Source organism: Homo sapiens, chromosome 4 (assembly GCF_000001405.40).
Source record: "Homo sapiens chromosome 4, GRCh38.p14 Primary Assembly".
In the NCBI taxonomy this organism is placed as follows: Eukaryota; Metazoa; Chordata; class Mammalia; order Primates; family Hominidae; genus Homo; species Homo sapiens.
The window spans coordinates 142,556,164-142,574,335 of record NC_000004.12 but is presented as its reverse complement, the minus strand read 5'-3'; the positions used below and the strand labels follow the sequence as shown (position 1 = coordinate 142,574,335).

The window sequence follows — 18,172 nt, the reverse complement described above, 5'->3', positions numbered from 1 at the left end:
GAGGATTGTCAGAGATTTTAGGTCAGGAAACAGAATAAGGAGGCTGAAGAATACACCATGTTGAGATTGCAGAGTACAGAGGAGGAAACCAGTTCCCTCCATGAGTTTGTAACTGTGGAAGACTAGCTTTACTGGAGTGGAAAACTTAGCTGGAAACAGCTGGATATAATGTTGGAAATGGTGAGTCCAAATTTTGTAATGTCTTGAAAGTCTTATTAAGGCTTTTGGTATTGATGAAAGCAACAGTCCAAGAGTTAAATGGTTTGAGTTAGAATTTTAGCAATGGTACTTTTTACCCTTTGACTTCTGTCATGGATAACATCATATTTCCCCATCAGTTTATTTCAGGCAATCAAGTAAAAGAATATATATAATAAAGTAATTTGTATATTATAGAATTCTATGCAAATAAATAGGTACATAAGTAGCCAAGAAGTTTTAAGTAGAGAGATATGAGAAAATTGGAGAATGTAAACTGTCAATAGAATGCAAGGTAGATTTGATAAGGAAGAGATTAAAGTCAGGAAAACAGGCAATGGTGGCAGTAATCCAATATTGCGGAATGTGTTCAGTGGTGTTTTTCGTGACTGTGCTTAAGCTAAACTTGGTCAATGTGTGATTTAGCACAGGGAACCTGTAATGATGTGCTAATTTCCCACCACGCAACTGCATCCTTTTACCAAACTAATATGGCCCAATCGAAAGGTAATAGATGGAGGTTTTTAAAAATGGAATTTGAGGGTGGGAAGCTGACAGATACTCTTTTTTAGCACAGTAAGATTTAGAAACAGGCAATAGAGATCACTTATGTCTGAGCCAGGTATATGATTGATTTTTTGAATTTTCTTCTTTGAGCTAGAAAACCATGATATTCTGACTCAAGAACAAAATTCTCCTCTTCCTGCTGTACTATTTTATGTCTCTGATATGGATGCAAGACCTAAATGGTTGTGGGTCCTTGAGTATGGAAGAGAAGGAACGGTTTTTTAAAAGAAAAAAGGAACTGGGTAGCACAAAGTGCTGTGATGTGGCTTGGCTCTGTGTCCCCACCCAAGTCTCATGTCCAGTGTTGGGTAAGTGACCCGGTGGGAAGTGAATGGATCATGGGGGCGGATTTCTCCCTTGCTGTTCTTGTGATAGCGAGATCTGGTTGTTTAAAGGTATGTGGCACTTTCCCCCTTAGCTCTTGCTCTCTCTCTCTCCCCTGCTCCACCATGGTAAGATGTCCTTGCTTCCCCTTCACCCCTCTGCCATGATTATAAGTTTCCTGAGGTCTCCCAGCCATGCTTCCTGTAGCCTGTGGAAATATGAGTCAATTTAACCTCTCTTCTTCATAAATTACCCAGTCTCAGGTAGTTCTATAAAGAACTATTGTAATACATACAAGATAATTGTGGGGAGAGAAGGATATATATTTATGTATTTATACATCTGTATATTTATATATAATATATAAAAGCATATATATGTATATGTATTCACATCTATTGAGTACCTATTTAATGCTTGTTAGCTATTCATTGAATACTTACTGAATCTCAATTATGGTACTCATAAACATGGAAGATAATTATTGTTTTTCTCACATTGTACAATTAAAGAGGGGTACTGAGAGTGTAAGGATCTAATCAAAGAGTTAATAAGACATCATTAACTTATTATCTTTTATCTGGGAGCATTCTCACCCAGATAAAAAATTCCGTTTTCTGAAAAATCTCGGATCACTAAATCCTTATTCATTTCTCTCTATCCATTCCAATCCTACTACAAACTGAGAATTAAAGTCATTTTCTATAAATAATAACATGCAAATTTCTCACTGATTTGTGCTTTTTTCAAAATATAGTGTTGTGGTTGTTAGAAGCAATGTTGTGGTTGTATTTGGTGTCTTTCCAACTTCCCACCAACTCTTCAGTATCCTTAAGAGACCACTACACCAGTGTCAGTGTAACTTCTCACTTCTTACTGGAGAAGCATTCAGGAATGTAGATACCCCACAGCTCTCTCTGCAGGTGCACCTTGTTCTCAGGTTCTTTCTGTGGGTGACACAAATGTGCCAATGCTCAGCACTTCTCAGGAAACTTGAGGTAAAATCATATCCTTGCACTTTAGCTGTTGAGCAGAATTTCATAGTTTTACATGCCAGTGATACAGAGCTTTATAGACCTAATTGAATTCAACAGCAGAGCAGTGTGACAAGCAATCTTCAAAGACACAAACGGCTTTGGAAAGAGAAGATAAAAGTAATGAGACCTACTACTGACAATCCAAGAAATGAATCTTTAGCATTGGCTGTCTATGGAGCAGCAATATGCAACTGAAGAATGGAAAAAAATGGCGAAATATTCACAAACTTATTTTAGTAACCCTGGTACAAACCAAAAAAGCAATTTATTCATTTATTCGCTGATTTATTTAATTTGCAAATATTTACTGAGTGCTTTCTATATACCAGGCACTGCTAAATACTGAATAACAATATAGCCTTCAAAAATACCAATTGGCTAAAATATGGGTCTCAAAAAAAAATAAATAACTTGTGCTCTGTTTACTTTTGGAATAATCTTATTCAAATTGACTCTTTGCCATTCTTTGCCAAAACCCTCAAAATATCATTTTATTTAATTCTATAATTGTTAGCAAAACTTACTTTTTCATTTTTTGGGACAATGTTTCCAGTCTATAGATAGATGTGAAATAAAATTATTTTTTGCTTTTTTATTGCAAGGAGATAATTATGCTGCTTATGCAAGAATTTATAAAGACTGAGGACATGTAGTAAGAATAAAGTATTGTTATTAAGTGAAACTCAGAACAAAGTTTCTCCGGCATTTATGATTATATATAATCATTACTGGCCTACTTTAAGGATAAATGTTAATCAGTATATGTGAATAATGATTAGCTGACTTCTTTCATATAACCAAATTAAATGGAAGTTAATGGATAGGTTAATTTGCTTGACTACAGTAATCATTTCACTGTATACATGTATATCAAAACATCAAGTTTTACATCTTTACACAAATTTAAAACATTTTTTTAAATTGCTCAGGATAACTAGGTTGCTGGGGTTGTAAGTCAAGGTGTGGGATCCAGATTAAAAATGAGTGGGAGGAAGAGAAGAGAAAAATAAAGGCAGGAGCTGGGTGGATTGGAAGCTTTTCTGGGGGTGCCAAGGCCCTCTTCCTCTTTTCCTCTTCACCTTCTGCCCCACTCCATGCTCTTTTTTTTTTTTTTTTTTTTGAGAAACATGAAAAGACTGAGTGAGGACTCCTGGAATTCTTTGGGATAGTCTCATGAAAGGGTAATTTCATGAGGTAGGGGTAGGGTCATGAAAGGATACTTTTTAATGGGAGCCAGGGAGAAAAACAGCAAGGCAATTATAAGATGCAACCTTAGAATAAGAAAGAAGGTCTGATGGTAGACTTTGGGTTTTTATAGGGTAAAATATTAATATGTCTTAGGGGTGAAAGTGGGGTTGATGAGATGTAGCAAAAAAGAAATTAGGCTTGACATGAAAGGAGAAGGGAAGTAAAATTCATTAACATTAGGGTTGGGTGTGCTACAGGTATGCAATGGGTGGTGAAATCTATGATTCCGAGTTCATCTGAGGTCTGTAAAAGCATTTTGTTATTTGAAAAAAACAGTTAAAATGAGTTAGATTGTTTAAAAATTGCTAACAAATTTTTTTATTCTTCTTTAAATATACTTTAAATGGCTTAATTATAGAGCATCTTCTGGGTGTTAGATTTCTTATCAAGTTCAGAATCAAGTCAGATCGTGCCTTCATGTAGCTTATAGTCAATTGTAGGGTATTATCTCCCCACTCAAATTAACTAAAAATTATTTTTCAACCAAACTTTCCATTTGTATTTTACTCCTTCCCTACCCAATTAAAACACTTTAAGAAATGTTACCCCTATTACTTCCCAATGGAAAAAAAAATACAGTAAAATATTACTTAATTTTTTTATTGTGCTGAAAATTTTCAGTGGCTATAGGAACAAGTGTAATAAGAGCTGTAAGTTAATTTTCAAATGAATGTTCAGGGATTTAAAAAAAGAGGAAGAATATGAGGCTCTTGGGATATGGTTGTTTACCAAGAGAACATATTATTAATGTCATTGAAACTCACTTTATTATTGAGTGTGAAATGAAATACATAAAGAAGCAATGTTAGTTTATTTCTGTTGGTTCATAGACACAGAAAAATGATGTGACTTCTTAAGTATATATTGTTATTCTCAATAGGGAGGCACAAACTAATTTTTCTCTTTAGTTGTGTTTATTCTCTACTTCCTGCATTTTTGGAAGAGGGGTTCTTGTTGATTCTTGCACCTAGCTACTCAACTAAGTCAATAAATTATATTGGAGGAGGAATGGAAGAAAAATAATGTTGATTTTATTTTATTACCTATGTATTTTGTACACACAGAAAATTTATGTATGAGAGGTGGCATTTGTTAAATATATGAATTTTTAATGTATCTAATCACTGTATTCTTTGTCAGTGGTAAGAGGAAAGCATCCTTCATTTTTCATGCGGACCTTTGTTTTATATGAAAGCTTTTCAGGGAAGAAAGCACAAATTCAATGAGCTATCAGAATGCGAATTTGGATGTTAGTGATAACTTTTACATTGCAATGAATCTTCTTAGAATATAATCCTCAATTTTGAGTTATCTATACCTTAGAGAAATTTTTACAACTACATTGCAGAGAAAGGAGCTAATCACCAGCATACACGGTGTCAAGGGTAGAGATCCCGTTAGAGACTGCCTGAGTTTCAGTCCTATCTCTTTTGCCCAGTTTCTCCCTTCTGTAAAGTAGTCATGATAACAGAGTTCACCTCATAGGTTTGTTTGTTATGCAAATTCAGTGATTTAACATTTATGAAACACTTAGAACAGACTTGGCACATGCTTAGCACTACATGGTTGGCTGTTAATAAGCAAAAGCAAGCAAACCACTCCTTTGTGGGGTAGAAACATATTTCAACATAGAGAGGAATATGTTGTTTTTAGCAAAAAAAAAAAAAATCCATGTTTATTTGCAGTGGTAGATATTTTGCATATTCATTTGCTTTTCATTTTTGTGTACTGGTTTCCAATAATGTGATATTTTTATATTATATTTCTTAGATGCTGATATTATCCCCAAAACTTTTGTTTCTACTTTTTTGTAAGGCAGAGAGACAGACTGTGTATGTGTGTACAATTGTGTGCAATGTAGCAAATATTATTTCCCATTATTATTCATACAGGCTAAAAATTTACATAGTATATTTAAGTAATTTGTTAATCTTATCTCTGATTTATCTAAAACATTTTAGGTAAACATCACAATGTTTAGTTTAAATTCTAGTCTCAGCAGTTACATTTGAAAAGGTTAAGTCTTATGACTTGTCAGTATTAATAATCCATTTGCAATTACCATACTAATTTGTTCCATATGCCTATAAAATATTTCTCTGAGCTACTAAATTATCACCTACTGAGAAGTTAAAAATATCTATTTGATACTTTTTCCAACAGAGAAGCAATTCTGCTTCAATCCTGAGTGGCGCTAAATTGTATATTGAAATATATCCTATCAAGTAATATCATCTTTGTAGCTGTTAATTATATCCATGATTATCTAACAGGATTATTAATGTATTTTTTTCTGCTCTCAATATATCAGTGATGGCAAAGAGACCTTATTTTGAGACTTGTCACAGTTCTAATTTGGATATTTTTGGAAAAATACATTAAGTACTCATGTTTCATTAACTTCTTTGGATACTTAGATATGTACATGATATAAAATAAAGTGAATAAGGAAATGGTGATGATAACAATGAAGTCCAATATCTAAATCTTTTCCTTATTTCTTCATTTAATTATTGCTTAAACATTTCTAAATCCTATTTGTATATGAAGAAAAACAAGAAGAGTTCCATGCCAGCAAGCCGATATCTGGGTGATTCAAGCCTTCAGGTAGTTCTGTGGCAGACTTTGGACCTTGGTAAGTTACCAGAAGTGATGAAGTTTCAGGTCTTACAAAGTAAGGCCAGAGTTGGGAAACACCTTGAAAACGAAAGAAACGACTTGAGAAAAAGAACTTCCTTGGTAAGATCAGACTGCTCTTTCTCCCTGTAATTTATAATTCTGTCCAGCAGCAAGTGGAAAAAAAAAAAAGAATAAAAAAAGAAAGGAAAAGGGGAAAGAATAATCAAAGCCAAACTAGAATCAGAGGGAAAGAATGCAGAGGGGAAAGGTTCAGCCTTGAGCTCACAGTCTCTCCCAGTTTAGCTCTGGAACTGTAATCCTTTAATTGAAGCCTTGCTCTGTTCCAAAGCATTCAGCTCTTATTAACAAATCTCATGAACTATTTGAAAAATATGATTGTTTGAGCCAAGCAATGTCTTAGGTAAATTTGTGTTTTAATTGCAAGCAGCTAGAGTATGCCTTGAGACTACTTGAATTGGAAATGGTTTTCTTTTTTTCTTATTCATTTACAGGAGCGTAAGTAAATAAAGAGCAATAATGAAAAACCTTCCTTACAGTATGTAATGAACTCACATTCTTATTTAAGAATGTGATTACTTTGGCTGTGGTGATTTACAAAGTGCTGTGTTTATGTAGGAGATATGCTTTTTAAAGTGTACCTTTTCCCATATGTATATATCTATTTCACTGTTATTACAGGTATCAGAAATAAGAAAAAATATTTATTGAGATAAACTTACTTATTTCAGCATATATTTATTCAACATTTTCATGTATTACCTAAAATGAAGGATACTTCTCTTGTTCATTCTACCTTTTCTACAGAGGGGCTGAGCCTCCCTGCTTCTTTTAACTTCATCATCTTCCTTTATCGGAAGGCTGAAGGGGGAGATAATGAGCTAAAGAACAACTTTCACCACCCACTGGGAGGGAACTACTGGAAGAGTGACTAGTTGTAGTTAGTGATCAGCGACATCTGCCCTGCCCCTCCTTTCCTGTCAGGGCAGCTGTGCTCTCGGACCCAGTGTGTGAAGTGATGGGTCTTCTGCCCACCCTCTGACCTGACCTCAGTTGTGTTGCTGTGTATGGATTCGAATTTATTCAAAGGACGATGTACTTCTACAGTATAGTTATTCAGAATGCAACACTTTTGCCAATTTATATAGGAAATGAAGACCGAAAACTCTAGCTCCTGACTGCTCTTAAAATAGGCTGAGACCTAGTGAAAATTAAATTAATTATACCAATGTCTTTCCCATCTAACCTACATATAAATATTTGAATGTGCAGGATCAGATACCTGATGTGTAAAAGGATAGCGTTTGAGGGGATGGTCTCTGAGATGGACCAGGCTCTGACAGTCAATCACGTGACTATCAAAAACCTTACAAGGCTCTGAACGTAGTCCTTACTTCTATATAAAGCCCAATGGAACTCACAGATGAAAAGAGAGCTTCACTTATTCTTTTGCTTTTTTAAAAAATGAGCTGGTTATAACTTTGCACATAAGTCTAATTGTGCACTTAGAAACTGATAGTAATAGAGGTTTACAGTTCTTTTCAACCTCCTGGAGAGTCCCAATACACACAGAACATTATATGGGCCAAAGAAACTTCTGAACCTAGAAGTGGGGTTTAAATACTGATTGTGCCTTTTACTGGCTTTGTAACACTGGACAAGTTACATATTCTCTGTAAACCAAGTGTCACATCAAAGGCAATCATTCCTATGTGTTATCCCTCTTTCCCAGATAGCAATCTCACCTTTTCTGCTGCCTACTAGACATTCTCTTTAGGATATCTCAATAATACCTTCAAATATCTGCCTGAAACAGAACTCCCTTCTTTGAAAGTACAGGATCACATTCCTTCTGCTTCCATTGACTCACCTTCTGCATAGACACCCAGGTGCCCTGTTTAGTAAATAAGACTCTTTTTTCCCCTCCTTTTACATCTCCTTCACATTCAATGCAAAAATCATTGCCATTATTCTTCATATTATTTCTGTGTTAACTTTCCTTTTCTCCATTTCTATGGCCATTACTCTGGTTGAGATTATTATGACTATGTGCCTGAAATAATGTAATAGATCACTTACAGGCATCAATGCCTTCCATAGCTTTCATTTCCACCCCCTTCATTTTGTATCCTACCTTCTGCTTCCAGTTTAATCTCCTCGAGGCACAGTTTTCATCCTGTCATTTTTCTTCTGTAAAGTCTTTAAATGGATCTCTTTGTGAACTGAATGAAGGCCAAACTGAAAGTGCCTCTAACACATATGAGTGTACGTACGTTGTAAAGTCTTTAAATGGATCTCTTTGTGAACTGAATGAATGCCAAACTGAAAGTGCCTCTAACACATATGAGTGTACGTACGTTGGTGTGTCTCTTATACTAGGTCGATGAGGCTCTGACAGTCAATGCACTTCCTCTGATGTTTTCTCATATTTAAATTCAGTTTTGCATTTTTGGCAAGGATACCAGAAAGTGAGGTTGTGACCTTATCAACATGTCTTATCCGAAGACTCTTGATGTCAATTTATTCCATTACTGAAAATGTTAACTTTGATCACTTGGGGAGGGTGGTGTTTGCCAGATTTCTTCACTACAAAGGCACTATATTTCTTTGTACTCTATAAGTATCTCATGGGAAAATAATTTGAGAGAATTTAAATATCCTGTAATTTATCACACCTTTGCCACTAATTTTAGTATCCGTTAATGATTCTTGCCTGAAACAACTATTACTGTGGTGTTTGCCAAATGGTAATTTTCTGGTTCAATAATTCCTTAACTTAGAAACAAGTTGTAGTTTTATAGTAAGGAAAAGTTTTCTTTTCTCCTTTACTTATTCATTCATTCATTTGTTCACTCACTTATTTGTGTTAGTACAGACACATGAACCCTTACGTTATTCCACAGGTTATAATCCCTTATGATCAAGATTTATTTTGTTATTCAGTGTTTCTGTATTTGACCTTTAGGATCACCAATCAAGTTGGCTACTTTGTCTTTTTGAAATGTGCCTATTCTTTCTTTCTTTCTTTTTAACTCTTTGGTATTTTCTAGCACAAAATATTTCAGGCTCATCTTATTTTTTCTCCTTCAGCCCTGGATTCAGCTGTTTCTCCAAGGAGCCATAGTTTTCTTATATTGGAGAGTGGTATTTAGAAACCAAAGTCTGGGAATCAGCTGGGCTCATTGGTGCAAGGGCATCCAGAATACCTGGCCAGTACTCATGAAAATCGTCAAGGTCATAAAACACAAAGAAAGACTGAGGAACTGTTTCATATTAAAGAACGCTAAGGAAACATGACAACTAAATGCGAAGTGTGTGTTTGGATTGGATCCTGATCCAAAAAAGAGCATTGGTGGAACAATTGGAGAAATTTGAATATGTTCTATAGACTAAGTAATATTCCATATTATATTATAACCTTATATATTTTGTCCATACCAGAGACTGATTTAAGAAAAATCAGTCTTAAATACTGACCTGAAAATAATATGAGAGTGCCTGAGTTACTCCATTTTTTTAAACCACTACTGGACTCCTCCCATTCCCTACAGTAATATTTTTCAAAGTGTGGTCCATGAACAACCTGCATCAGATACTCCAACATTCCATATTAAAAATGTAAAATTTAAAAATTTAAAGCCCAAAGTCTGGGCTCCATCAAAAACTTGCTGAATCTTAATTTATGGGTAAGAGAGTCCTCAAAAGTTCTATTCAGATCATTTTCATGTACCCTACTGTTTGAGGACTACTGGCCTAAGCCTTTATCAATATACTTCAATCCAAGATATTTATGGGAGCCTCCAGTCTTCCATGGTCTGGTTCTTATTAACTGCTGAGTTTCTTTTTTTTCTTTCTTTCTTTCTTTCTTTCTTTTTTTTTTTTTTTGCCATTCCTTAAGACACTACATTTTTCTACTATAAATTCCTGTACCTCTCTGCTTATGCCTTGCTATTTTACTTCTTTATACCTTTATCATTTCCTCTGCCTGACATAACTGTCCCACCTTACTTCACTTGATCCACTCATCAATCTATTTTAAGCCCTCACTGAGGTGTTCTCTGCTCCAAGCCTTCCTGGCTTCCCCAGGTAAACTGCAAGCCTCACATTACACACCAGGGAGTTCTGTTTCCCCAAAGGACTATGAATAAGCTTTGTTAGCGTGCTTGCACATAGTTCCTATTCAGTAAAGTTTTAGCAAAATGGGTTAATAACTAACTGACTTGCGGGAAGTTTCTATATGGATTCTATCTACTATCTTTTGTTGTGTGAGAAATCATTACTAAACTTAGGGTCTTGAAATAACAACTGCTTGTTTGGCTCATAAATCCGTGGGTTGGAAATTTGGTTTGGATCAGCTGGGTAGTTCTTCTGTTGATACAATTGGACTAACCCATGTGTAGGTGGGCAGCTGCTGGTCAGTGAAAAGGCTCTGCTTCGGGGGATTAGCTGACTGTTGGGTAGAGCCATAGCCATAGCTGTGCCATGACTCATCCACTGGAAGGCTAGACTGGACTTGGGCTTGTGCAAATGGAGGTGGCGGGTTCTCAGAAAGAGAGAGAGGGAGAAGTGAGAAAGAAACTGCAAGTTATTTTCACGCTTATGCTCAGAGCTAGACAATATCATTTCTGCCACTTTCTTTAGCCAAAGCAAGTCCCAACACCACCCCAAATTCAAGAATGGGCAAATAGACTCAAGTTCTTGATTGGAGATACTCAAATGTATTATGGCCATTTTTGCAATCAACTCCATGGCTCTAATATATATGAATTGATGATTGTAATTTACAGTGTAACTATAAACTGGATTCTAATTTTCTATTTCTATCACTGCTATTGCCTTATAGATAGGCCTCATTTCATTTTAATCTTCAAACCATTCTGTTACAAAATGTTGCTGCTGCTTTTCCAGCCCTGTCACCTTATTCCTTTTCAATTTGCCTATTCTGGAGAACCCTTTGCATCTGTTTTGGGAAACACAGGTAAGGATGTACCATTCCATTAAATACTTGGATTTAGTTACATCTTAAAATGAAGCCAACACTCTCAAACACAGCAAACTGTGGACTCTAAGTACGACAGTGGACATGTTGCCAATAAGAAAACACATCATTTTTGTAACCTTGATTTTTTCCTTTCATTGTCAGTTTTTCTGCCTTAAAAAAATTGACAAAATCCTGCTTTCATTCTGTCATATCAGTTGACCTATTTTCTTTGTAAAAGCAGTGTTCATCTTTCTGCCTAGCAGAGGTACTCTTCACTGCTAAACACAGCTGTCTTTAAAGGCACAGCCATCTTAGGGGCATGTCCCTTGGCCTCTTTACTGGTAGGGTGAGAGGTGTTTTGACTTAAGTTTGTGTGTTGAACCCTAGCATTTATTATTGACGTCTGTACCTTTGTATCCCAATTTCCACAGTCATTCTGGGAAATTCAACTACAATGGCATTTAGTCTGATTTTCTTATCCACCTTAGAAAAAAAAATAGCAATATCTAACATTTTGCAAGTAACATGAGAAGAGAGAATGGCGTGGAAATTATTAAGAAGACCTTTTGGTTTTCTACCCTAGGGACTTTATTTTCTCTTTATTTCTCTTTATTTTATTATCTCTCTATTTTTTTTTCTTATAGATTCTAAATAATACTCTTATAAATCTTTTGTTTTCTTTAACACAAAATGGGTTTTGTGCAACCTGTTGGGAACTGGACAATTTTGTTTTCAAAAAGCAATAGGATGTCTTTCTTATTTTTCAAGGACACCTTGTCCACAAGTACTTTCCTGCTCTTGGTCTCCTTGAAGCTTGGCATCCAATCCTGGTATTCATTGAGGGGAAAAAGTCCTAGAATTTGCTTTGTGACCTGGGCTATATGGGATGTAAGCATATGTTACAAAACTTAATGCATAAATCTGCTACTTTTGATACAGTCTGGCTCATGGAGAGATGGGATTTAGCTTCTCGTAATGAGAATTTGATGTGACTGGAAATTGAACAGAAGCATCTTTTTATTGAAGGTACTGAGGCTTATAACAATCATTCAGTGGCAGAAGTTATTGTTTTTCACATTACTTTTCAACTAGAAAACCTTTCAAAGCTTCATGAGAAAATACCTATCTTTGTTCAAGCAAGAAAACACTTGGTAACTTTTCCTTTACATCCACTTAAAGCAAAATGATGTAGTGAGAACCTCCTACTCTACTTTAAAGATATACCTCAGCTTTCCTCTATGTTAAAACCTTCTTTCCTCTTCCTAGGTCAGAACTGCCCTTTTATAAAATTTCGCTTTTCCTCTTTTTCCCCCTGTGAGAAGTGAGGATCTTAATCAAAAGAAAAAAGGAAAAAAGAAAAAGAAAAAGAGAACAAAAAAAAATTCTAGATATAATACTGCCAAAGGTTTGAAATGAACATAGAAACTCTTTGCAAAAAAAAATTATTTTTCAGGCTTTAGACAGAACCTTTTTTACAGTGCGCACATAAACATTTCAGTCTTACAGATCTTAAAAGAAGATGAGCACCAAAAAAAATATTGAATTCGATATTGAATTGACATTGCAAGAAAGACATTCTATTTCTTTCTCCATTCACAAATCAACTTTAGAAACTTTAACAAGTCAGCCAGGCGTGGTGGCTCACGCCTGTAATCCCAGCACTTTGGGAGGCCGAGGCGGGAGGATCATGAGTTCAGGAGTTCGAGACCAGCCTGGCCAATATGGTGAAACCCCGTCTCTACTAAAAATACAAAAATATTAGCCAGGTGTGGTGGCTCACATTTGTAGTCCCAGCTACTCCAGAGGCTGAGGCAGAAGAATCGATTGAACCTGGGAGGCAGAGGTTGCAGTGAGCTGAGATCGCGCCACTACACTCCAACCTGGGCAACAGAGCAAGACTCCGTCTCAAAAAACAAACAAACAAACAAACAAAAAAACAAAGAAACTTTAACAAGTCATGTAACCTTTCTCCTTCAATGTTTCCATTTATAAAATGCATATCTAGACAAGTGAAATAATTTTGTGAATTAATTTCTTCCTCAAAAGTATTTTTTTAATCTCAAGTATCTTTTAAAACAGTATTATATTTTATTCTTCCATAACAGAGGCTACATCCAGAAAAATCAGTGAGTAGAGAATTTTATAATTATTAATTTGGTCTTCTACCACATTGAATAAAAAAATTAAATTATGATCTTTTGCAGAAGTGTAAATTATACTATTAGTGAGTTTAGCTCTAACATATATTTTCTGTTATATTTAAGTGCTGTCTTATTAAATACTTTTTTGGGGAATTCATGATATGGATTTGGCAGTAATTCCCTGTGGAAAAAACAAATGATAATAAAAAGGTCTTTTAATTTTCACCAAAATGACAGTCAAGATTTTATCAACCTATGTGAGACTGGTTTTTTAAAAATTAGTAGTTGTGATGGTTAATATTGAGTGTCAACTTGACTGCATTGAAGGATGCAAAGTATTGTTCCTGGGTGTGTCTGTGGGAGTGTTGCCAAAAGAGATACATTTGAGTCGGTGGACTGGGAGGGGCAGACACACGTTCAATCTGGGTAGGCACCGTCTAATCAGCTGTCAGTGCAGCTAGGATAAAGCAGGCAGAAGATGTTGGAAAGAGCAGACTTGCTGAGTCTTCTGAGCTTCATCTTTCTCCTGTGCTGGATGTTTCCTGCCCTCGAACATCAGAATCCATGTTTTTCAGCTTTTGGGCTCTTGGACTTACACCAGTGGTTTGCCAGGGCCCCCCAGCCTTCGACCACAGATTGAAGGCTACACTGTTGGCCTCCCTACTTTTGAGGTTTTGGAACTTGGACTGGCTTCCTTGCTCCTCAGTTTGCAGACAGCCTATTGTGGAACTTCACCTTGTGATCGTGTGAGTCAATTCTCCTAATAAACTCCCCTTCATATGTACATCTATCCTATTAGTTCTGTCCCTCTAGAGAACTCTGACTAATACAGTAGTAGTAGTATTTGTGAGCTTTCAGAATTAAGAAGTATCTTAAATTCCACAGAGGAGCCTGATTGTCTTGTGCCCATGCAGTGTCACAGCTTTAGAAAAGAGGGCCATGTCTAGGCTGACCCTTTTCCGGCTCAGCATGCTTAGGAGAGGCACATGGCTGAGGCGGGGAAGGAAAGCGCAGGCTGTTAGCATTGAGGATTAGATCTCACTATAGCGCCTCACTTCCATAGCAATCTCAATAGAGAAAACATGTCTTGATAAACCCCCTTCTGTGAAATTGGAGAGGAACTATTTGTTTATGTTTATTTCCTGCTGCTTATCTGATGTGATGTCCTGAGATGTGATGAGGCTTTTAGAGATACCAGTCCTCATATACCACTTAGATGCCTCTAGGCAAGTGAGAGGGACAGAATGGCATTAGCTCTATTCTTATCGTAGATTTTTAAAGTGTATAAAAACTATTTCATGAGTGAAATGTAAATAAGTAACTGAAACTTTTTTTCAACATAATAATAGGAAGAAGATCAAGCAAGAATAAAGGGAAATTCAATGGCTTTCTCTTCTTATTATTTTTAGTATACTCTTGGCAGAATGTTCAATTTATACATTGAGAGTTTAAAGTATTTTAATGACATGTCTAGTTAAACTAGTGACATAAATAATATATATAGTTATCATAGGTTTGTTTTTAAAGGGCTATGATTACAAGATAAATATGTGTAGAAGTGTGGGTGACACTCTAAAATTAAATCACAATATTGATAAAAACTTATGCATATGATTTTGCTGTTTGCAAACTTGCTGTCATGTTGAAATAATAAAAATAGCAAGACATCCTTGCTATTTGATGCTTTTGAATGTTATATGCTATTACATGTAAAAATGAGAGGTAAGTGCCCCATTTTGCCTCTCATTTTTTAAATGAATTTCAAGTGAGTCTCAAATGAATCTCAAGTTTCATTTTTTAATGAATCTTGATTCATTAAATACAAGGTACATATTAAGAATTAAATTTGAATAATTCTCAAGCCACAAAGATAAACAAAAGCATAACAGTGAAAAAAACTTGCAACAGCACCACCACTCTCTGACATCTTAGGTTCTCTCAGCTTTTGATGAATGCACTGCCATTTTATGACCCTATTAGTCCATATTCATTCCTTTTTATCACATTTATTGCAAATCACTTTGTTTACCACCAACTAAAACTGAGAAGCACTATAACAACTGAGAGTGCATTAATCCTTTAACTGACACAGTTGCAAAAATTCCAGAGTTGTGTCGACTGAAATCATTGTGCACCAGACATTTTTAGCATTCCTGACCTACAGTTCTCCACTTTTGGCTGCATGGAGAAGTTGGGCTTCGCAGCGTTCTAACAGATGGGTGGGACTCTGTGTCTACTTCTAGTTAATGAGCTGAGACAGAAGGGGATATATATCAGTTCCAGGCTGAGGCAGTAAAAACCCCATGTGATTGTTCAGTCTTCACCTGACAGGCGATCAAGGACACATACTCCTGATGAAGCTTCAAAAAATTGAGCTTCTTTTTTTTTTTTTTTTTTTTTTTTTTTTTTAGAGGGAGTCTTGCTCTGTCGCCCAGGCTGTAGTGCAATGGCGTGATCTCTGCTCACTGCAAGCTCTGAATTGAGGCTTCCTTTAACCCAGGCCTCCAGTTTCTACACATAGTAGATTTTTCCCCACACTGCCCCCCCAACACCCACTGAATTATACCAAGAAGGAGAAATAAATGTATCTTGTGTTAACCCACTGAGATTTCCAGATGAATTTGTTAACAGTGGCACACCATAGCCTGAATAATACCTATGGATTATAGAATTTCTTCACTTTTAGGCTTTATATTTAGATATATTAGTAATAACTTTTTCTAAAAGAAGATCTATTTCCTCCCTAACTTTTGGTTTTTGTCTTTCTTTTTTCCTTTTTTTTTGCTGCCAAAACCAAATTGTCAAAGTCTTATTTGGGGCAGTCAGGATGATTAAATTTGGAAGTCAATGGGAATGTAAGGAATTGGGTGCAGGACAAATAAGTGCTATGAATCCAGAGAACAGAGCAAGATAAGACTGGATATCTGTCAAGCCACAACAGACAAAATGGACAATAAGTGACCTGAGTACACAGACTGAGCTCAAAATCTAGCGGTCAAGGTTTTGAAAAGAGCTTGGACTGAGGAATGATACCATGATGAGAACTTGTGGGCTCTTCCAGAAGTTTGAGATGATAGGTACAGTACAGAATTTAAAATGAAAGAATGGGACCCGTGTCTTAGGATGGAAATTGGCAAATAGGATTACCATGGTTGGCACCAGAGATGCAGGTCAAGAGCTGCAAAGGAAGTAAAGCCTTAGATATAGAACTAGGAGTGAGGTCAAAACAGAGTTTAGAAACAGGATTGACTTTGTCGTTGAACAGTTCGTTTTGTGGCAGCCTTATGGCCCTCAGGGGCAGAACCAGAACGTAGAAGGGGTAATAGGTGAATGAGCCCATAGATAGAACTAGAAACTCTGCAAGAACAGACAGCTCATTAGAGTGGGGAACCCTACCCTTTCTGATAGACCTATTTTAGGGGGCTCAATTCCTTTTTATATGGAATATAAATTATTTTAGTTGCACCTTATATTTCATCACTGGTATTACTTATTGTTACCTCTAATATTTTTTCTATTTTTTAGATATCTATAACAACTTCCGACATGTTGGGGTTAATGTTTACCAAGGCTGTATCTTAAACAGGTTTTGCACTGTAGTGTGGAACTGTGCCTGGACATCGGGAGCATGTGTCTGCAATCCTGAGTGTATTCCCAGATTCTGCCACTAACTCTTGCCCATGGACTGCCAGCTGGACAGGTGGCCTCTCTGGCCTCAGTTTCTTCTTTGTGGAGGCTGTGTGTCTGTGTGTGAGTGGGAGGTGGGAGATGGTAGACTAGGTGAACTTCAAGGTCTGTGCGTCTCTCCAGGTCTTTGAAGTAATTCTTTACAGTGAGTCTGACTTTCATAGAAGTTTCATTTCTGGGAACTAAAGGAGCTTTTACATACTCTTCTTGTTCTCCTCTTATTCATGTTGCTCTTAACATCCGAATCTAAATTTAGTTCAATTTTTATCCATTCTTTATGTTCTCCTCTCTACAACTGTTTCCCCGAATTTCCCATCAGCTGCCCTACCCTGGAGAACTGCCGGCCTTCCTTCTCCAGCATTGTCATCAGTTGTGAGTGCTTAAAAGACGCTCACTCCTGCACCAGCAAACCTCTCCAGGCAGCCTATTTGAAAGCATCTCTTAGGTGCAGCTGTGTGAAAAGTTGGCTAGGGATATAATATTGGAGGTTGGCTACTGGTCCTCCGGTGGTCACGACAGGGCAGCTTTGAGGAGCAGCTTTGTGCTGTATCGGTTTTGATGTATCTAATAAAGAGAAGATAAAGCCTCTTCCAGACCTCTGTCTTCTATTCTCCTGACTGAATATATGAGGAGATAGCGAGGTTTCCTAGGTATCAGCTTAGATGATAAAAACTGCAATCGATACTTTCCCCTGCAATTTGCGTGCTTCTTTTAGGCCCCTATCCCTGCTACTGCAACTGCTAACCTTGTCTTTCTGACTCAAATTGGAAATAAAACTGTCTTAGGTGATTTAAAACATTTTTTTTCCTAAATAACACATCAGCAGGAAATCATCACATGCATACCTCCCCCTCTTCTCAAGGTTAACATCCAAGGCTGGACTAATGGTCTTTTTCTCTCTGACCTGAGCTGACTTTCCTTCCCAGGGGACCCCATTTTGGTCATTGGTGCCCACTTTCATCCCAGCCTCCAAGCCTCAGATTCTTTCTTTATGCCTCTTTCTCCTTTATTCCCAAAACTACCCAAGTATTAAACTATCTTTTTCTTTCCCCAAACTTCCTTTTCTTCTATTTAAATTACCATAATTCTAACCCATGTCCTCATTTTAAAAATAACAGTTTTTCTTCACTTACATATAATTAGAACTCCTGTCTGGAGTCAGGGACCCAGTAATGACTTACCTTCGTTACCAAGGAGTGATGTGGTGTTGTTCCCACACAGTTGGTGACAGTGGGAACACAGTGTACTTGCACCAAAGAAGTTTCTTGGTCTTGCTAGTATAAAAAGAAGAGACTCATGTGACTCATGCTCAGGAGCCACACCTTTGACCAACCATAGAAGATAGGACAGAG

The 18,172-nt window shown here is 36.6% G+C and overlaps 1 protein-coding gene and 1 long non-coding RNA gene across 20 annotated transcripts in view; one reads left to right on the top strand and one right to left on the bottom strand.

Moving 5' to 3' along the window:
• The window catches only part of LOC101927613 (uncharacterized), a 100,791-nt gene extending 88,363 nt beyond the window's left edge, over nucleotides 1-12,428 (bottom strand). For all 3 annotated transcript variants that reach the window (XR_007058285.1, XR_001741432.2, XR_007058284.1), the window contains exon 1: nucleotides 8,146-12,428. This is a non-coding gene — a long non-coding RNA (uncharacterized LOC101927613). The remainder of the gene's footprint in view (nucleotides 1-8,145) is intronic.
• The window catches only part of INPP4B (inositol polyphosphate-4-phosphatase type II B), an 823,376-nt gene that overhangs the window by 272,200 nt on the left and 533,004 nt on the right, over nucleotides 1-18,172 (top strand). For 3 of the 17 annotated variants that reach the window (XM_047416358.1, XM_047416354.1, XM_024454273.2), the window contains exon 1: nucleotides 6,057-6,113. The exons of 12 other annotated variants lie outside the window; for them this stretch is intronic. The gene's annotated coding sequence lies outside the window, so the exon portion shown is untranslated. Of the gene's footprint in view, nucleotides 1-6,056; nucleotides 6,114-13,580; nucleotides 13,880-18,172 lie in introns of those variants that run through there. 2 more of the 17 variants (NM_001385338.1, NM_001385339.1) reach the window with 1 other exon arrangement.